Source organism: Homo sapiens, chromosome 3 (assembly GCF_000001405.40).
Source record: "Homo sapiens chromosome 3, GRCh38.p14 Primary Assembly".
Lineage (NCBI taxonomy): Eukaryota > Metazoa > Chordata > Mammalia > Primates > Hominidae > Homo > Homo sapiens.
Genome location: NC_000003.12, coordinates 13,814,057 through 13,833,317, shown reverse-complemented (window position 1 = coordinate 13,833,317; position 19,261 = coordinate 13,814,057). Strand labels below are relative to the sequence as shown.

The following is a 19,261-nucleotide window of genomic DNA, read 5'->3' as shown; positions in this document are numbered from 1 at the left end:
CATATGTTGTGTAGGGATGGACGGCATGAGAAGCACCTGTGTGTGAGCATATGTGTCATGCATACCTGTGAGGGAGTGTGTGAGTGTGCGCACAGGCGTAAGAGTGTGTGCTTTGAGTGTGCTGATGAGTGTGAGGGTGTGAGCCTGTGGGGGGTTGCATGGGGCCATGCCTGGGGAGGTTGTGTATGTGTGAGCACATGGTGGGATGTGACTGTGTGCAGGCCACACAGGTTACTGGGGGGGTAGGAGCCTAGAAAGAGATGAATCTGGGGTGAGGGGCTGTGTGTCCACAGTTCTCGGGCTCCTAAGATACCCCAAAGTTGGGCAGAGACCAGTTCATGGAGGGTCTTGAAAGCCAGGCAGAGGAATCTGGGCTTTAACCTCAGGAGCCATAGACAGCATCTAAGCAGTTGTAACCTGGCAAACACTGAGTTTCAGAAGGCCCCCAGTATAGACCAGAAAACCTCTCTCTGGCTTGAGTGGAAACCTCTCTTCCTGTACCTCCCAGGCTGCATTCCAGGGGCCCTGTCCTATGGGGTGCACCTTTTCCCTGCCATCCCCTCCATGTCAGGCAGGAATATTTGCTTGAAGTCAGTGCATCCAGAATGACTTAAAGAATGCACCAAAAAGAAAATACCTCAAATGTTTACAGAAAAAAAAAAAAGCCATTTTTTCTGCTCTTTCATCTGAGTCGCCCAGAGGTATACAGCTGCAGCTGGCTGAAATGCAGCTTTCTGCTAAGATGGATCGACATGGGGAGGGAGAGGAGGAGCAGGAGGAGACTGAGAAGGAGGAGGAAGAGCAGGAGAAAGAGTAGGAGGAGCCTGAGGAGGGGGAGGAGGAGGAAGAGCAGGAGAAGCTTGGGAAGAAGGAGAAGCTTGAGAAAGAGGAGGAGCCTGTGAGAAGGAAGAGTGGGAGGAGCCTGTAGAGGAGGAGGAGTGGGAGGAGCCTGTGGAGGATGAGGAGCAGAAGGAGGAAGAGTAGGAGAAGCTTGGGAAGAAGGAGAAGCCTGTAGAGGAGGAGGAGCCTGCAGAGGAAGAGGAGGAGCAGGAGGATGGGAGCAAGAGGAGGAGGAGGGGGAGAAGGAGGAGCATGAAGAGCAAGAGAAGGAGAAGGAGGAGCAGGAGGAAGAGCAGGAGGATCTTGAGGAGGAGGAGGGGGAGCAGGAGGAGCCTGAGGAGGAGGAAGAGGGGGAGGAGGAGGAGGAATATCATCAGGAGCAGGAGAAGCAGGAGCAGGAACAGGAGGGGAGCAGGTGGTGGCAGCTCTGGATGGGAGCCTGTAGCACCTATCCTGGTGTGGGTATCCACACTTATTGTCTCCCGGGGTTGGGGGTCCAAGGCTGCCTGCCCGCTGACCTCCACGTTGTCTTTATTCAGTGCCTTGGAAAGGGTCCCTGGTTTGGACATTTGCAAGCAGGACAGGTCCTGGGCGGGACTCTGGGGAGATACACCTATAAGGCAGTGAGGAAGGCAGCCCTGGGCATCGAGAGAAGTTGGCCAGTGATGCAGCAGCCACAGGGACTTATGCTGGTCCCATGAGAAACCTGGAGCTGGGTTAGCCCCATGGAGGCAGGGAGATGGGCCTTTGTACCCAGCACCAACCAGTCTTTGGCTGGGGGGCTGCCCAGGGAGGGGGAGTGGTCTTGGGTGAGACAGCTCCCATCAGGGGAGGGCAGTGCCTAGGGAGGAACTCAGCTGCTAGCCATCAGCAGCAACACTCCCAGCAGCTGCAGAGGGAGTGTCTGGTCCTGAAGGACAGATCCCAGTGGCATGCGACAGTGTCCACTACACAAGCCAGCCCAAGTGACCATCACCGAGGGAGCAAGGCCATCCTAGCCCACCCACCTTCCTTCTGTTCGGCCACATTACAGCTCTACAGCCAGATTGCTGGACTCCAATACCAGTTCCATGCTTCCTGACTGTGTGACTGTGGTCCGCACTGCCACCCCTTGTCTCCCCAGTCTGCTCATCTGTGAAATGGGCTGATGATGGTCAACCTTCCTCATAAGGTTTCTGTGTGCATTCGTGTCAGGCACTGGACACCGCAGCTACCTCGGAGGCAGCGGCTTTTATTAGAGGTGGGCATGGATCCTGCCCTTGTGCCGCTCAGTCTGCTGAGAGGTTTGGGCATACACGTAGGAAGAAGTGACACTGAGCAGCTTGGGCTTGAGGCCGGCATTGAGCCCTAGGCCGAGAAATTGTCCTCACTCTGATCCTGACACCAACACCAACATTTCCTGCAGAGCCTTGAACAATGGCACAATCCTACATAATCACAGTAGTGATTATGAGCGCCTCCTTCCCCTGGAACTCCACCTTCGGTCATTTAACCCAGCTGCTGCATCACCAGGTGTGTTCCATTGAGCCCATGTCATGAGGAGACAAAGCTGGAGCTCAAGGAGGGACTCACTTACCCAGTGTGCCCACCAGAGTCTGGGAGATGGCGTAGTCAGGGGTGACAGAGGCAAGTTTAGGTAAAGGATGACTACAGGGATGTGGGCAGGATTTAAGGAATCCTAAAAAGGCCTTAGGGCTGGCAACATTGGGGAGCTCTGTCTGCCCTGGAGGGCAGTGTTAGTAGAGAAAGTGTGGCTTGGGGAAAAGGGGCCTCCTGGCAGGCGCTGTGGTTCTAGGCAGAGGGAGACAGTCACAGCCACCATGTGGTCCATGGACAGGGAGTCCAGGGTGTAAAAGTCCTGCCTGTATCTTCTCCTGCCCTCCAGTCCCTGTGGGATCACCCACTGGGAAGCTGGAGGGCAAGGAGGGACACAGCTCAGCCTCCCAGGGTAGAGCAGGGGTGAGCAGCAGCCAGGGACACCTTCTGCCACACACAGAGGATGATGGACCCGTGTTTCACTTGGTTGGTGCAGGGTGGGTGCTTGGAGACAAGAAACATGAACAGATGGGGCATGGGGCACAGGAGAGGAAGCCAGCGGAACTTGGTGACCATCTCCTGCCTCAAGTCTCTGGAGTCTGACCCAGGCATGGCTTTCTGTGAAAACTAAGCCATCAGCCCTCCAGCCTGAGGTTGAGGGGCCTCCACATCCAGCAAAGCTCCCACCTGCTTTCTGTCCATCTTTTTGACCGGGGCCCACCTTTACCATGTGATCAGCTGGCTTGGATCTTTTTGGAGGAGGTTCAGGAACGAGCCTCCTGCTTGGGGGAGGGTGGCTGGGGTCTGAGCATGGGAGATAGCAGTACCAGCAATGTGGATGGGAGAAGACGCTGCGGGGACCAGGAGCACATTGTGTGAGGGGAGAACAAAGGCAGCCATTGCAGGGGCTGCTTAAAGATGCCCTGGGGTTGCCATGCCAGGCAGCAGCAGCACAGACATGCCTCCAGCGCTGGGAGGGTGTTTGCAATAGGACAGGGGTTCTGGGGTGAGTTGACCTGGGTGTTGGAGAAGGCAGGAGAAAGGATGAAGGGCTGGGGCTTCAACAGCAGGGCTCCCAGGAACTCCTAATGACCTCTGGGGGAAATGGTCACTTCCTCTCATCTCTGCACCTGCTGCACTGCACAGAAATGGGCTTTCACTCCAGGGACTTCTGGGAGAGTGTGGACAACTTCAGCCAACCTGCTTCTCTCCTCCCCCTGCCCTCCTTGTCTCCCTCTGTCCCCGTCTTTTCTCTCCGAGATCCCCCTGTGTTGCCTTCATTGGTAAGGAAAACTGAGACTCAGAGAAGGAAAGGGACTCGCCTGCAGGCACATAGCAGTGTACAGACAGAAGCAGGACCTCCATCCGATGGCTCCTTCCGCCCCACAGCGCCGCTCTCCCTGCCCTGCCCTTCTAGCCCTGTGCGCACTCATCCCAGCATCCACTGCTCAAAATGAGAAAAGTTCCCACAGGCTGGGCGCCAGTTCTGTGAGATACCTGGTGCCAGGCCGCAAAGAGCCTTCTCCTATTTAATCCCCACTGTTCCCTTTGAGAGGACTTGTCCCTACTTTACAACGAGGAACAAATCTCTTAGGATGCATTTGGTTGCAAGTAACAGAATGCCTTACTAGTACCAAAAGTGGTTTTGATGATAGGAGTTTGTTTTTTTCCTGCAAAATAAAAATCTGGATATGGTTTCTTTCAGAAGCTCAACAGTCTTTTCTTGGGCCCCAGCTCTTTTCACCCTTCCATTCTGCCATTGTCACCTTGTCAGCCTCATAGGTCTTGCCTAATGGTCACAAGATGACTGCCTAAGCTCCAGGAATCACATTCTTACACCACAGCATCCAAAGATAGAAAGGGAGAAGTTGCTTTTCCGGGTCTCTGTTTTTTTCAGGCGATGTGTTATGCTTTCGGCCTCCGTGGTCAGAGGTAGGCCAGCAGCAATGAGGAAATGGAGAGCCAGAGAGTGTGCCATGTTCCCTTGGGCCATTTCTGCCATCACCAGCATGTGGTGGCAGGGATGGGATTTGAACTGAGCTTCTTGGGTGACCTGACTCTGCCACAGTGCCTGCCCTTCTGCTTCAGGCTGCCTTTGGCCACATCATACTTTCGTGGAGACTGATTCTGGTTGCCCAGGTCACTGCTTATAACCTGAGGTACAAGTAGTCCAGAACTGACCACTCCCTGCAGAGGAGCCAGGCTGGCCAACCTCAGAGGGGTTTCAGAGGGGAGGAAGCAGCAGATACTCAACGAGCCCAGAGTCTCGAGCTCCAGCCCTCGAGGTCCTGGCCTTCCAAAGGCCTTTTTAGGCAAACCAGTCCTTGGCTCCCCAGACCTGCGCCATGCCATGTGTGGCTTAAAACCCATCAACTTGGGGCTGGCTATCTGTTTTACAAAGGGCACCTCCACCACCCAGATGAAAGGATTTCTGTTGCAGTTAGGGTACTTTAAGTTGTAATGGGTAGAAACCCAACTCAAGCTTGCTTAAGAGCAAAGGGTATTCATTAGTTCCTGGAACACAGTGGTCTTGGGTTGATGAATTCAGGTCTGGCTTGATCCAGGGTGCAAATGATATTCCCAGGACCCAGCTGCATGCACCCCTTCCTTGCCCCCTCTCTATTTCTCAGCTCTGCTTTCCTAGTTGATGCCATCCTCTGGCCCCATGTGGTTGCACGATGCCTGTCCACAGCTCTGGCCCCTGCATTCCCTCCTGTTCGTATCTGGTGGGAGATAACCAACAGCTCTTGTCTTCTGTGTGCGCAGAATCCCCAGGACTCACTTCAGTTTGGCCCTGACTGGTCTGAGTCACCCATCCTTAGCAATGACCAGTGGGGCTACTTCAGTTTCGGGGGCTAGGAAAGGCCTCATTGAGGACTCTCTGTTTGCAAAGCTCCAAGGTCTCACTGGGCTTGCTAGAAAACAAGGCACCAAGATAAGGACTGGGGTTGGGTGGGGCTGGGACAGGTGGCTCTGTGGAGGAGGTGGCACTGTGGAGGGCTGTAGAAGGCTGGGTTGGGCTGGGCCTGCGGAGATGAATGGGGGCACATTCCTGGAGTAGGGCAGCGCAGGATCGATCCTGGAGCGCCCAGTGCTTCAGAGTGCCTGCCATGGGTGCTGGGGGCAGGGATGACAGCAAGCAGTGTGTTCAACGCTGGGAAGCCTTTGGTTTTTAAAATTCGATGCCCCTCAGAATGCTATGGAGGGTGGCAGACACTTCCAGTCATAGGAGCACCATGTGGCATGGACCCTGTGGGAGCCAGAGGTTGCTGTCTGATGTCCCCTCCCAAGGATCCTTCCTTCTTCCAGGAAGTTCACCCCTAGGTCCCCTGGGCAGCCCGAGGGTCTGGGACAGGCCCAGAAGCACCAAATTCGATAGTATCTATTTGGCATTATGAATCAAGGAATTTTCTGGAGCCAAGTTTCTCCCCAGTCCCCTCCCAGGCCTGAGAACCCCACCCTGAGTAATTCCGGGCTCTGGGCAGCACCTGGTACATTGTTGGCACTTCCTGGGGGACCTGTCAAAAAGAGATTGATTTTTCTCCCTCCAGTGGTGCAGAAAATCCTTCCTGCTGCTCCAGACAGGTTTGGGGCATGGCTGGCAGGCAGAGGAGGCTCTGGATTGCAGCCCCACCCAACCTGGTGCAGGAGTCCCCTTTACAGACCCCAGCTGCTGCTTACATACATTCCAGGACAGGGAGCTCATTACCTCACCAGCAACCCTCTTGAACCCTGGTGAGCTTTGTTGGGGAGGTTGCCCTCTGACTGAGCAGGAATCTACTGCTCTCTGACTCCTGCCAACAACTGGGGTCCCAGCTCTGTGCTCTGGGACACAGTCCTTCCTGCTCACTCTGTCCTGGGTCAGGCCTGCAGACCCTGTGGAGTAGTGACTAGGGATCCCAGAAACTACCTTCTCCAGGCTGAACAGCTCCAGCTCATTCACTGTGGGTCCTCCAGCCCTCTCCTCTAGACATGCTCTGTTTCTTTCCATCTGCTGAGGCATAGTCCAGTTCTGAAAACTGTATAGGAAGACCATCCCCTTCTTTATTGTGGGCATTAGGCCTTAGTTAATATGGCCCCAGAGTGTTGGCTTTTCAGTAGCCTCCTAGCTCATATTGAACTTGTGGTCAATTTCAATCTTTCTCAGTCTCTCCCATACTGTGATTTTGCAATCAATTTTTTAGATATCAAAAATTGTAGATGTTTAGCCCTCTTCTGGCTGGTTTCAGCCACTGTTTTATTCTGTGGAAGGGACTGAAGTCTGCCTGGCCCTGCACTCACATTATCCTCTGTAGATGCCTGAGCTGACTGGAGTCAGATTTCGGTAGCACCAAAAGACCCTTTTACTCCCCAGATTCCCCTCTTTCTGGCCACTCACCATGCCTGAAATGTCCTCATTATGTGCTCAACATGTGCTCTTCCTTAAGCCTGCTCCCTCTTTCAGTTCTCTGTGTCTGTTTCCCAATCTGAAATGCCTTTTCCCCATCTACCTGAGTTTGGCCAGTTCTAATTTATCCCTCCCGTTATCTGACTCCAGCTCAGCCCTGGCCTTCTTGGGGGAGGCTTCCTTGAGATGCACACAGGAGCATCTCACGGGTTCAAGTTTCCTTCTCTGTTGCTTTCACTCCTTCATAGCACTTACCAATGTATGATTAGATTCAGGGGAATTATTAATTCCACAGTTACTTCTGGTTTGGAATCACAAGCTCAGAGGTGGCAAGGACTGCAAACTCAGGGAAGGTGGGGACCGGAAGCTCAGAGAAAACCGGAGCAGCACCTCCTTGTGTCATAGTCTTCCTGGGAACTCCCCAGCAGGGGTGACGCCAAATACCACACAGTAGGTCCTCACTGTGAAACAGGTGCATGAGTGAAAGCCTACGTGGACAGACATGCCCTAGGTCCTGTTCCCCTTGCAAACACCGGGCAGCACCGCTTGCACACAAGGCTCTTCATCAGAGGCGGGGGATTTCAAGGTGAATGACCTGGCCCGAGGAGTGTGGCCGGTGGGGTTCTCTGGAAGCAGAGGCTGAGATGGAGTTTCCGGTCCCAGCTATTTATTGGGGATCTGTATAAAGGAATAAAGGGGAAGAGGAGGAGCAGGCTTGGGCAGATAGAGGACTCACACTTGGATGCTGGCCCAGCAAAGCCTTGATGGGGAGCACTGGACTCGGTCCTGCCCATTATGTTGGACTGCCTCTGGCTAAAATGGCCAGACCTTTATACCCTTGCCTCTCTTGGTCCCCAGATGCAGGGCCCCACACCCTGAAGGATCTGACAGCTGGAGGCTATGCACTAATCACACTCCCAGGCCAGTGGTGTGTTGGAACCCACTCCTATGGGCTGGAAGACCCGCTACTAAATATTCAGGATTTGTCAATTGTTAAACTGCTGGTAGCTTAAAGTCAGCCATGGTGGGAACATTTAATTTATTCCTCAGAAATTGGGAAACACTACGTAACAGGGCTTTTTGTTTTTTCTTTCGAGAGCCAGTTTGAGCAACATACCACTACATGTAGCTATGAAGCAAGTCCTCCCTTGGAGGGCAATTGGCCTGGGGGAATGCTGACGTATAGGCAGGTCATCACAGTGCTAAGGAGACAAGGACTCTAACAGCACAGGCCAGCCATGGAAACCATGAGGGAGTCACTGTCTATCCTGACAATCAGGGAAGGCTTTGTGAGGAGCTGACTTTTTTCCTGACATGGCAGAATATTCAAACACTACAAAAGACAATCCCATGAAAAGTAAGACTCCTGTTTGTCCAGCTGGTCCCCTGGCACTGGTGTCCTCCCCAGAGACAGCTGCTCTTACCAATTCCCCTCATGTAATTCCAGAAATACCCTGTGCTCTTACAAGCATACATGGATGAGTCTTCTTTCTCATACAAACAAGCTCCCAAGCTGCAAGCCTTTCTACACCTTGCTTTGCTCTCTTAACCACGGACCTTGCACAGTGTCCTTGGTTAGTGAGTAAGAGCCATTTCATTCTCTTTAGCAGCTATAGGGCATTCCAACTCATAGATGTGCCGTAATTTACATAACCAGTCCCCACTGGTGGATCTTCAGATTCTTTTGGCCTTTGGATATTTCAGATAAGGTCCCTGTGAGGCTCTTTGACATCTTGCACAAGCACAAGCCTCCCCGCAGGGTACATATTCAGTAGTGGAATTGTTGGGCCATCGTCTGTCATGGTGATAAAGATTGGCCTTCCAGATAAGGAACAGCATGTGCAGGGCCAAGAGGCATGGAAGGGGTGAGCTTGCTCAAGCGGAGGCAGCTGCTGCGGAGAGAGCATGGGCCTGGGGGCCAGGAGGGTGGGGCTCGGCTCGGCCCTGCTGCAGAGGAGCCAGGTGTATCCACTGTGGTCATGGCTGGATGCCACAGGCACATTCAGACTGGGGAATTAAGGAGAGTTTAGAAAGAGACCACTGTCCAATGACCGATGGATGCGTGGATAAAATGTGGCATACCTGTACCATGGAGTGTTATTCAGCCATGAAAAGGAAAAGAATTGTAACACATGCTACAACATGCACAGACCCTGAAAACTTTATGCTGAGTGAAGGAAGCTAGAGACGCAAAATGCCACATACTATGTGATTCCATTTATAGAATAGATCTGTCTAGAACAGACAGATCTACAAAGACAGCAGGTAGATTAGCGGCTGCCTGGGCCTGGGACAAGGGGAAATGGGGAATGACTGCAATGGGTATGGAGTTTCTTTTGTGGGGTGACTAAAATGTTCCAGAATTAGATTGTAATGATAGTGGTACAATTCTGAATATACTAAAAACCATTGAATTGTACACTTTTGATGGGAGAATTGTGTGGTATGTGAATTGTACTGCAGTAAAGCTGTTTTAAAAAAGAAAGAGTTTGCTAATAAAAGGACAAAAGTAAAGGAATTCAAAGAGTTGGTGCAGCACCCTGGGGCTGGCTACACTGGGGAGTGGTTACTCCTTACGCCTGAAGACAGGGGAGGCTGAGCTGCTAGAATCCGGGGGCTGTATAGAGAGGACTTCCCAGCAGGAGCTGTGACCTTTGATAGGGTTGTGCAGACATCCTGAAGGGCCCAGCAGGGAGCAACCAGGGGGAATAACTCCCAGAACTTTCCTCCTGCCCTCCGATTTCCTGCCAGTGCCTTCCACAGGCCAAACCATCTGGAAGGGCCTACTGAGGCCAGACACCAGATTCACAGATTTACTTCCTCATTTATTTTTCTCATATATTGTGATATCTCAGCATCACAAGATGGCAAAATGGCAAACTCTAGCAGTTTCATGCAGCTGGTCTTTAACCTGCAACCCAGTGGTGCAGCCACTAATATAAAATACTGACATTCTGCCAGCTGCTCCAAGCCCCTTGATTGTCCCCCACCTTTGCCATGGCTTTTCCTTGAATCCTCTCAACTTCACCTATATCCAGCAATGGAGGGTTGATGCCTGGCTAGCTTGGCAGGGCCTGTGGGACCCTGAACATTCAACTGACAATTGCTCGGGCCTGGGGCATACTGCTTGTGGAGTGATTTGAATGCACCCCCTTGGTGAATTACCTTCTGGCATTTTCTGCGCACCGGCTGTATGCCAGGCACTGGGAAGCTGCATGGAGCCGTGTCATCTTAGAGCCTGAGCCTGAAAGCCCTCAGACCTCCTGACACTGAAGCACAGAGCCCAGGCTCTTCAAGTGGGGAGGTGAGCTCATAAGTCCCCTCGGGCAGCTCAGAAGCCTGGCCTCAAGCAGTAGGGTGCAGAGTGCAGCTTTGTCCCTCACACACTTCCTCTGCTATTGTCCCCTGCCTCGGGGAGAGGGCTGGGTGCCCATCTGGTGACCAGCCCTGGCCAGGCAGCTGTGATTATGCCTGGCTTAATGTGGACAGAATGCAGTCACTGCATCTCTCAAAATGCAGAGTGTGCAGGGCTAGCAGGCTGGATGTCACCTGATCGGAGCCCATTCAATACCACCATGGCGTCAGGCCATCAGTGGCTTCAGAAGAACAGGGAGGCCACATTCAGGGGACCAAGAGGGGCAGAAGGAGCAGTGACCCCCATCCAGGACACAGGAGCCATTTTCTGCACTAGGGCCATTGCTTAGGGCCCACCACGGTAGTAGCCCTCAGTATCACACACATGGAAATACATGCAAGCCTTGGTATTGCTTTCCCACAAAAACCTTCCAGGGGCTTCCCATTGCCTTTTTTAAGAAAACAACTTTACTGAGGTATAATTCACATGCCATACAGTGTCACCACTTAAAGTATGCAATTCAATGGCTTTTAATATATATTCACAGATATGTGCAACCATCACCACAATGAATTTTACATTATTTTCATCACCTCAGAAAGAAACCCGTACCCATTAGCCACCACTCCCCATTTCCCTTCTTCTCTGCAACCATTAATCTCCCATGTGTCATTATGGATCTGCCTATTCTAGGCATTGCATGTAAACGGAATCACACGATATGTGGCCTTTTGCATCTGGCTACTTTCACTTAGCATATAATGTTTTCAAGGCTCATCCATGTTGTAGCGTGTATCAGTACTTCATTCCTTTTTATGGCTGAATAACATTCCACTGTATACCTCATTTTGCTTATCCATTAATAGTTGAGGGAGTTATTCCGCTCACTTTTTGGCTGTTATGAATAATGCTGCTATGAGCAATCATGTACTCATTTTATTGTGGACATGTTTTCATTTCTCTTGGGCATACGCCTAGGGGTGGAATTGTTGAGTCACACATTCTGTGTCTAACATTCTGAGGAGCTGCCAGACTGTTTTCCAGAGTGGCTGCCTCCTTTCAGATGCCCACCAGCAGTGCAAGAGGGTTCTGATGGCTCCACACCCTCGCCGACACTTGTTATTGTCTTAGCCTCCTAGTGAGTGTAAAGGAGCATGTCGTTGTGGTTTTGATTTGCCTTTCCCTGGGGACCAGTGCTGCTGAACATCTTCTCATGTGCTTGTTGGCCATTGATTGTATCCATTGCATTTTTATAAATTGAGATATTGCTTATGTGAAAAAAGTACACAAAGCATCCCTGTTCACTTAAAAGAATAGTTACAAAGCATGATCCATGTAACCATAAACCATATCAAGGAGCAGAATATTGCCAGGACCCCCAGAAGACAGCTGGGTGCCCCTGGCCAACCACAGCCCCTCCCCGCCCTGGGAATAACCTTGTCTTGATATTGGTGGATGGGCTCCTAAACAATACTATCCAGTTTTGTCTGCCTTTGACCTTGATCCAAATGAAATCACTCTGTGGAAATCATTTCTGGCTTGCTTCTGTCCCTCCACACTGTGTTTCTGAGTTAGTCCCTGTCAGTGTGGCTTGCTAGAGCTGTTCATTGTCATTGCCCTATTGTGTTCCACTGAAATGCACACGCTGTGGTTTATCCACTCACTATGGATGGTCATCTGGATGGTGCCCAGGTCAGAGCGATTATGAACATTGCTGTGTGGACATTCTTGAACCTGTTTCCTTTGCACACACAGTGTGATTCTCTAGGGTATGTGTCTTGGAAATGGAAGGTCTGAGTCATAGGCATGTGCATCCTCAGCCTTAGTAGATACTGGAAAACGGGTTTCTAACATACGTGTACCAGGTTGGCATGCCTCCAGCAGTGTCTGAGGGCTCCAGGTGCTCCATATGCTTGCCAACACTCAGTATTGTCAGAATCCATTTTGAGCATCCCCCAGGTATCTCTGTCAAAGCCTCCAGCTCAACTGGGCCTGAGTGCATCAGAAACACCTGCCTCACTCTGCCCCCAATTGTGTCATCACACCTCCAAGCCTTTGCTCTTTCTCCTGCTTCTTAAGCCAAGGCAGTAAGGCAGGCTGGAGATTTGGGAACTATCCCCTCACTGACAACCTGTGTTGGGGATATCTGTGTTGTTTTGGGGACACAGATTTGTGGGACGCAGCCTGCATTTGAAGGGGCTGCTCATCCAGCATGGGCTGCGTGTGGGGGGGTCCTGGGAGACTGCTGCCTACAGGAGGTACTCTGTGATGCCAGGTGTTCTGGAACCAGAGCCTTCAACCAGCCAGTCCTGTTCCTGAACACTTTGGATGCCTGTGGCATCACTGGCTCATTTGATTGCAGATACTGAGGTTGAAATGTGGTGGCTCTCCCTCCCTGGTGGTTCTGTTGACCAAACACTGGTCACCTCTCCTGGAAGGAGAGCTCTTAGGGCTAGGAGGACCCTGAACATGGACCCAATTCTCAGAGTCAGGGACTTAATCTTGTCACCTCAGTATCCCCAGCATCTTGAACGGGCCCAGGGCCAGAGGCAAGACTAGCGAGTTTTTTGAATGTCTCATTCTCTTCCAGCACCCTGATTTTCTCAGAAAAGCTGGAATTGTCTTCACTATATGTTAGAGTTAAGGAAACTGAGACCTGGAGAAGAAGCATCACATGGGAACTAAGTGGCCAGCAGGCACTCAGTTCGCCCCTCAGCTCCAAGCCCCTTGCCTCAGAATGTCTCACAGACCAGCTCTGAGACTTAGTTTAGCCTCAAGGCTTTTTTTTTTTTTTCTGTAAAAAGGAGTCAATCATACTAGCTTCATGGAATTAATAAGATGCCATACATAAAAGCATGGGCCCAGTGTGTGTGCAGGGGGTTAATAAATGTCCACTCACTTACCCCTTCCTCCATTCATTCTTTCATGATATAACAAGCAAAAGCAATTTGACAGTCTGAATGAAGGAGAATAAAAATGCTCACACATGGTGAACCAGCAACTGTGCTCACTTGGGAAATCCCCATCTCTGTGCCTGTACACAGTAGGAGCTCAATTCATGACTTAGGATGGTGGAGGAAGGGAGAGAAGCTTTAGTCCCAAAGATATTTCTTTATAGTTGAAAAAGGAAGAAAGGGGTGGAGGGAGGAAGGAAGGAAGAAAAGTGAGAGAAAGAAATAAAAACAATTTTTTAAAGTACACTGAAAATAACCTGAATATGCTGTACTCTGGGTGTTGGGTAAAATGTTGCCTTCTCTTATTGCTAGGCTATTCTAAAACAAAGGTAAGCAAAATATGGCTCATGGCCCAACTCCAGTCCACTGTCTTTGTAGGTGAATAAAGTTTAAATGAAAAACATCTGCCATTCAATTCTTGAACTTCATATAAATGGAATCATAAAGTATGTCCTCTTTGGTGTCCAACTTCTTTCCCTCAACATTACCTCTTAAAGATCCATTCTTTGTGCATGTGTGAGCAATTCATTCTTTCTCCTTGCTGTATAGTATTGCATTGTATGAGTACAGTTAGGCACTATCGTTATCCCCCTTCTACATATGGGGAAACTGCTGCACAGAGGGCTGAAGTGGCTTGCACAGCACAAAGGCTGGAATGAGAGGGCCTAGAATCCAGGTCTGAGTTTCCTACACCAGAAAGAAAAAACTAAAGCCAGACCCAGATAGGTGGGGCAGGGGTGGGGGGCGGGGGGGAGCTGGGGGCTGCACTTGGCCTTGGCGTGCAGTGACCTGTGCTGTGCTCTTCCCCGCCCTCCCCTGCAGATCCTGGAGGAGAACATGAAGCTGGAATGTAAGTGCCACGGCGTGTCAGGCTCGTGCACCACCAAGACGTGCTGGACCACACTGCCACAGTTTCGGGAGCTGGGCTACGTGCTCAAGGACAAGTACAACGAGGCCGTTCACGTGGAGCCTGTGCGTGCCAGCCGCAACAAGCGGCCCACCTTCCTGAAGATCAAGAAGCCACTGTCGTACCGCAAGCCCATGGACACGGACCTGGTGTACATCGAGAAGTCGCCCAACTACTGCGAGGAGGACCCGGTGACCGGCAGTGTGGGCACCCAGGGCCGCGCCTGCAACAAGACGGCTCCCCAGGCCAGCGGCTGTGACCTCATGTGCTGTGGGCGTGGCTACAACACCCACCAGTACGCCCGCGTGTGGCAGTGCAACTGTAAGTTCCACTGGTGCTGCTATGTCAAGTGCAACACGTGCAGCGAGCGCACGGAGATGTACACGTGCAAGTGAGCCCCGTGTGCACACCACCCTCCCGCTGCAAGTCAGATTGCTGGGAGGACTGGACCGTTTCCAAGCTGCGGGCTCCCTGGCAGGATGCTGAGCTTGTCTTTTCTGCTGAGGAGGGTACTTTTCCTGGGTTTCCTGCAGGCATCCGTGGGGGAAAAAAAATCTCTCAGAGCCCTCAACTATTCTGTTCCACACCCAATGCTGCTCCACCCTCCCCCAGACACAGCCCAGGTCCCTCCGCGGCTGGAGCGAAGCCTTCTGCAGCAGGAACTCTGGACCCCTGGGCCTCATCACAGCAATATTTAACAATTTATTCTGATAAAAATAATATTAATTTATTTAATTAAAAAGAATTCTTCCACCTCGTCGGGATCCGTTTTCTGCAATCAAAGTGGACTGCTTGCTTTCCTAGCAGGATGATTTTGTTGCTAGGACAAGGAGCCGTGTAGAAGTGTACATAACTATTCTTTATGCAGATATTTCTACTAGCTGATTTTGCAGGTACCCACCTTGCAGCACTAGATGTTTAAGTACAAGAGGAGACATCTTTTATGCATATATAGATATACACACACACATTTTTTTTTTTTTTTTTGCTGTTTGCTGCTACTTATCCAGAAATTTAAGCTGGTCCAGATTTGGAGACGTTTTTTCCAGAGTATGTTTTCCATCCTTTTGCCCTCCCCAGTTCAAACTTCACCATTAGAAAAATCCAGTTTGGAATAAATAGAGAGGAAAAATAATAAATTCCCAGCAGTTTCCATCTTTCGGAAAGTGAGCCACCGGATAAGAGAGAATATTTTGTAAGAGACTATTTTTATATGAATATTTTATTTATATCGAGTCTACTGTATCATTCCACGGCCTGTGCTTCTTCTTAATTCTGGTACTCACTTAGGGGTAAGGAGGGGCGATGCCTGGTTGTGGCGTCAGGCCCCATGGGGCCCCTTGCACAGCTGGATTCTTGAGTTCTGTTTGCCAAGTGGGCACAAGCTGCCCCTGGATGCCTGGGGTTGAGGCATCATCTCATCCATGTTAGCCGGGAAAGAAATCAAATCCCCAGCCTCAGCCTGTTAAGCTCAGGCCTTTCAAGCAGGGCCACTGAGTGGTAGCTTCGAAATGAGTCACTGTGGTGGGTGGTCATCGTGCCCCTCACAGGGACTTGACCGTCATCCTGCAGCAGAGGCCAGTTCAGGGAGCCCCACACCTCACCAAGACACTAGCCATTGCCTGCGTGTCCTGGAAGGTGAGATGTAGTCCTCAGGTGAGGTGACCCAAAGCAGATGGGGTGAGGGGCCGATGAGCAGCCGGGCCCAGCGGGGCTTCCTGGATATCCTGCTCCCAAGGCCAAGCAGCAGAGAGAGGTTCAAGTGAGGCCACTTTGCTTTGGGTCCAGCTACACCCAGAGCCTCAGCCTAGAAAGCTGTCCTCCAGCAGGCTGGGGGTGTTCTAATATGTGTCCGTTTGCATTTCCGGTGTGTGTGTGTGTGTGTGTGTGTGTGTGTGTGTGTGTGTGTGTGTGTACTGTATCTTCTTAGGGACTTGAGTGTAGTCACGTGACTTTGCGCCTTGCAGCGCCTCCGCCGTACTCGTGTGTGTATGTGTCTGTGTGTTTCCGTGCTACCCAAGCGTCTGTTTCTCTCCGTGTGCCTGGGAGATCAGGTCTCAGGCATGGAGCTGCATGCCTTTGCATCTGCTGCTCCCCAGAGTCTCTGCTTGCATGTGAGGGCTGGTGGTATGAGGCAGACAGCAGAGATTGTGTGTGATTGTGTTGAACCGCCAAGAGAAGGCACCTCTGAACTCTGTCCCCACACCCATGGGTGAAAACCAGACACCTCTGAGACCACAGCACAGCCCCATGGCCCCACCTGCTGGGAGCCCTTCAGTATCTAGGCTGTGTCTGACTCCTCAGTGTCCACACTGAGCCTGGATCACAGCATGGGCAAATAAAAGTGACTGGATGGTTGCATGGTTTCTTCCCTTGGACATTTTTTTCCATTTTTCTTTTACTTGGGTGTCTGGAGGAGTGGGCATGTGAAGGGGCCATGGAGTGAATGGATGGAGGGATGGATGAATGTGTGAGTAGGTAGGTAGGTGAATGGGTAGATGTGTGGATGGATAAGTAGGTGGGTGGGTGAATGGATAAATGGATGGATGGGTAGATGGATGGATGAAGGGATAAACAGATGGGTGGATGGATTGATAAGTGAGCGGATGAATGGATGAATAGCTAGGAAAGTGGGTGGGTGGATGAGGGTGGGTTGATGAGGTAGGTACACCTACAGATAGGTAAGTGAGCAGTTTCTTGGGAGTCCACAGGTCACATTTTATCTTTGCTTTGGAAAACCTAGCAGATCTGCCATGATCAGGATGGCTTCCCGACCTTGCAACCCTTCTGCTTCTGACCTCCTTGGCACCTGGGAATGGGGGAGATTCTGACCAGCCTCCCCAGATGAGTGTTCAATGATAGTTACATAAACACAGTCTCAGAAGAGTCATCCCTGTGTCCTCCCTCACTGTGGGTTCCCAGCTCTGGGGCCTGCCCTCTCTCGGGTGCCCTGTTCAGCTGTGCTCTGAGCCCCAGTTTCTCCACCTGTGAAATCAGAATAACACCTACCTCACAGGGCTGTTGTGAGGATCCTCCCAGTAATGACTGTATGGCACTTTGAGTTGCAAAGCAATGGATGAATGCTAAATATTATTATTAATTATTATTATCACTATTCTCTCCACAACTATGGGATTCTTCAAACATGGCTTATGGTAATAAATATTTGGTTCTGCATTGGGCAGAGGTATCCACCAGCCCCTTTGGTCTATTCCTAAAGTGGCTTTTCAAAAAAACTGACGTTACAAAGGCCAAAATCGTTAGAGGCTGAACCAAAAACATCAGAAAGCCCAGGACTATAGTGATGAGAAACCAAATGCCTGGGGTCTTGGCAGGAACCCAGTCTCAGAAAGTAAGCTGCTCAACACAAGGGCATTTTTGCCACATGGGAATGTGGGCCTCTTCATGGTCAGATCCTCTGATTTTTCAAGAAAGGACAAGCATCCAGGTTTTTAAGTAAAATATCCCACTTTTTCTGTACATTGACAAACACCATGAGGATGAAGCAAAACATGACTGTGGGCTGAACTTGGCCTTCATGCCACCAGCATACAGTCTCTGACTTGGACACATCTCTTGTTTTAGAACTGGAGAAACTGAGGCCCAGAGAGGGCCAGGGCTCAAGGCCACACAGCAAATTTGGCAGTGAGAAAACAAAGTCCAGGATGTGTGCCTCCCAGGGATGGCCTTGCACCAACATAGTGCACCAATGGAGGCAGCAAAATAATTTGAGGGAAACGGTTAAGAGGGATAAAGTTCCTATACACACACACACACACACACAGCCTCTGGACTTGAGTTTAAAACTAGCTCAGGGCTTCACGGAGCAGGAACTGGACTTTCCCAAAGGCCCTGAGGAGATGAACCAGTGCCTGAACCTCTCTGCAGAGGGTGCCCTGCCAATTGGCAAGGGAGCCCCTCAGCAAGACCTGAGTCAGAACAGACCTGGGGAGGCTTTTCCCACCAAAGGTCAAGACAGTCCTGGGGAGGCTTTTCCACCCAAGGGCAGGCACAGTCCTGAGGAGGCTTTTCCCACCCAAGGTCAGGACAGTCCTGGGGAGGATTTTCGACCTGAGGTCAGGACAGTCCTGGGGAAGCTTTTCCCACCTGAGGTCAGGACAGTCCTGGGGAGGCTTTTCCCACCTGAGGTGGGGCTGTCCCCTGCACACTTCAAGGCAAGTCTAAGACATGTTTCCTGAGACCCTAGGAAGCCTCTTGCTCCCACTTCACAAATGACAACCAGTCTCAGGGAAGAGAAATTACCTCTTCAAGGCCTCACCACCCAGAAGCAAGGGAAGGAAGGCTATAGTTTGGGCTGTCACACATCATCTGAGCCATCATCACCTGAGCATTCCACCACCTCAAACAGAGGCTTGAGGAAGATGGAGATAAGAGGTTCAGGCTGTGGACCACACAGGCTGTCCATGCCAGATGCAGATTGCCATTGTCAAATTCCTCCCCAACACCAGGCACATTCAACAGGCTGCCAAGCTCTGGCAGTTTCTCCCTGGGGCATCTCATGAGTTTTCTCACTGCCCATCACCTTCTTTGGCCACCATTGTCTCTTTCAGGTGAGAATCTGAAAGAATGCCAAGGCTTCCTCCAGGTCTCCCTGCTTCCACTCATACCCCATCAAGCCAGCCTCCAAGCTCTGGCCAGACCAACTCACACCATACCTACCACCAGCCATGGCTCCCCATTGTCCTGTAGGTAAAGTCCAAGTTCCTTATCCCACAGTGACCTTGCACCTGCCATGCTGGCAGCCTTTTGCACAGCAGTAGCAATGGTGCCACTTAGGAGATAAGCACTCTGCCAGATGAGGTTCTAGCAGTTCTCATGCCCTCTCTTTCATCACCACACCCTATTTGTCTCCAGCACAGAATTACTGTGGTCCCATTTCTCTGTACATCTTGTCCTTTGCTGTCTCCTCTGCCCAGAGCACTCACCTTTCCCCCACCTGACAAACTCTTCTGAAGACTCCTCTGAAAAGTCTGTTCATGCTGCTTCAGGGAGGATGAGACCCAGGGCCACCCACATGCAGCCCTTGCCCACATTCTTTTCCTGGCCTGCTAGAATCAGAACCACACTCCTTGATGGTGCTCCAGAGCCTGCTACAGGGCCCACCCACATGAAAATTCACTGACAGGCACAGGACTGGAACTCATGTCCCAGGCTCGATGACCAGGTTCCTTTCCTGCTTGGGGAATTGTGTCAGTGAGCTATGGCTGAATAACAAACTACCCCCAAACTAACTGCCTCCAGACACTATGGATTGATCTTTG

At 51.1% G+C, this 19,261-nt stretch overlaps 1 protein-coding gene across 3 annotated transcripts in view; it reads left to right on the top strand.

The window, feature by feature from the left end:
• Window positions 1-17,060, top strand: part of WNT7A (Wnt family member 7A) — a 63,814-nt gene extending 46,754 nt beyond the window's left edge. For all 3 annotated transcript variants that reach the window (NM_004625.4, XM_047448863.1, XM_011534091.3), the window contains one exon: window positions 13,895-17,060. In NM_004625.4, coding sequence (NP_004616.2) covers window positions 13,895-14,374 — 480 coding nt within the window. In that variant the 3' untranslated portion in view covers window positions 14,375-17,060. The remainder of the gene's footprint in view (window positions 1-13,894) is intronic.
• Window positions 17,061-19,261: the final 2,201 nt, after the last annotated feature.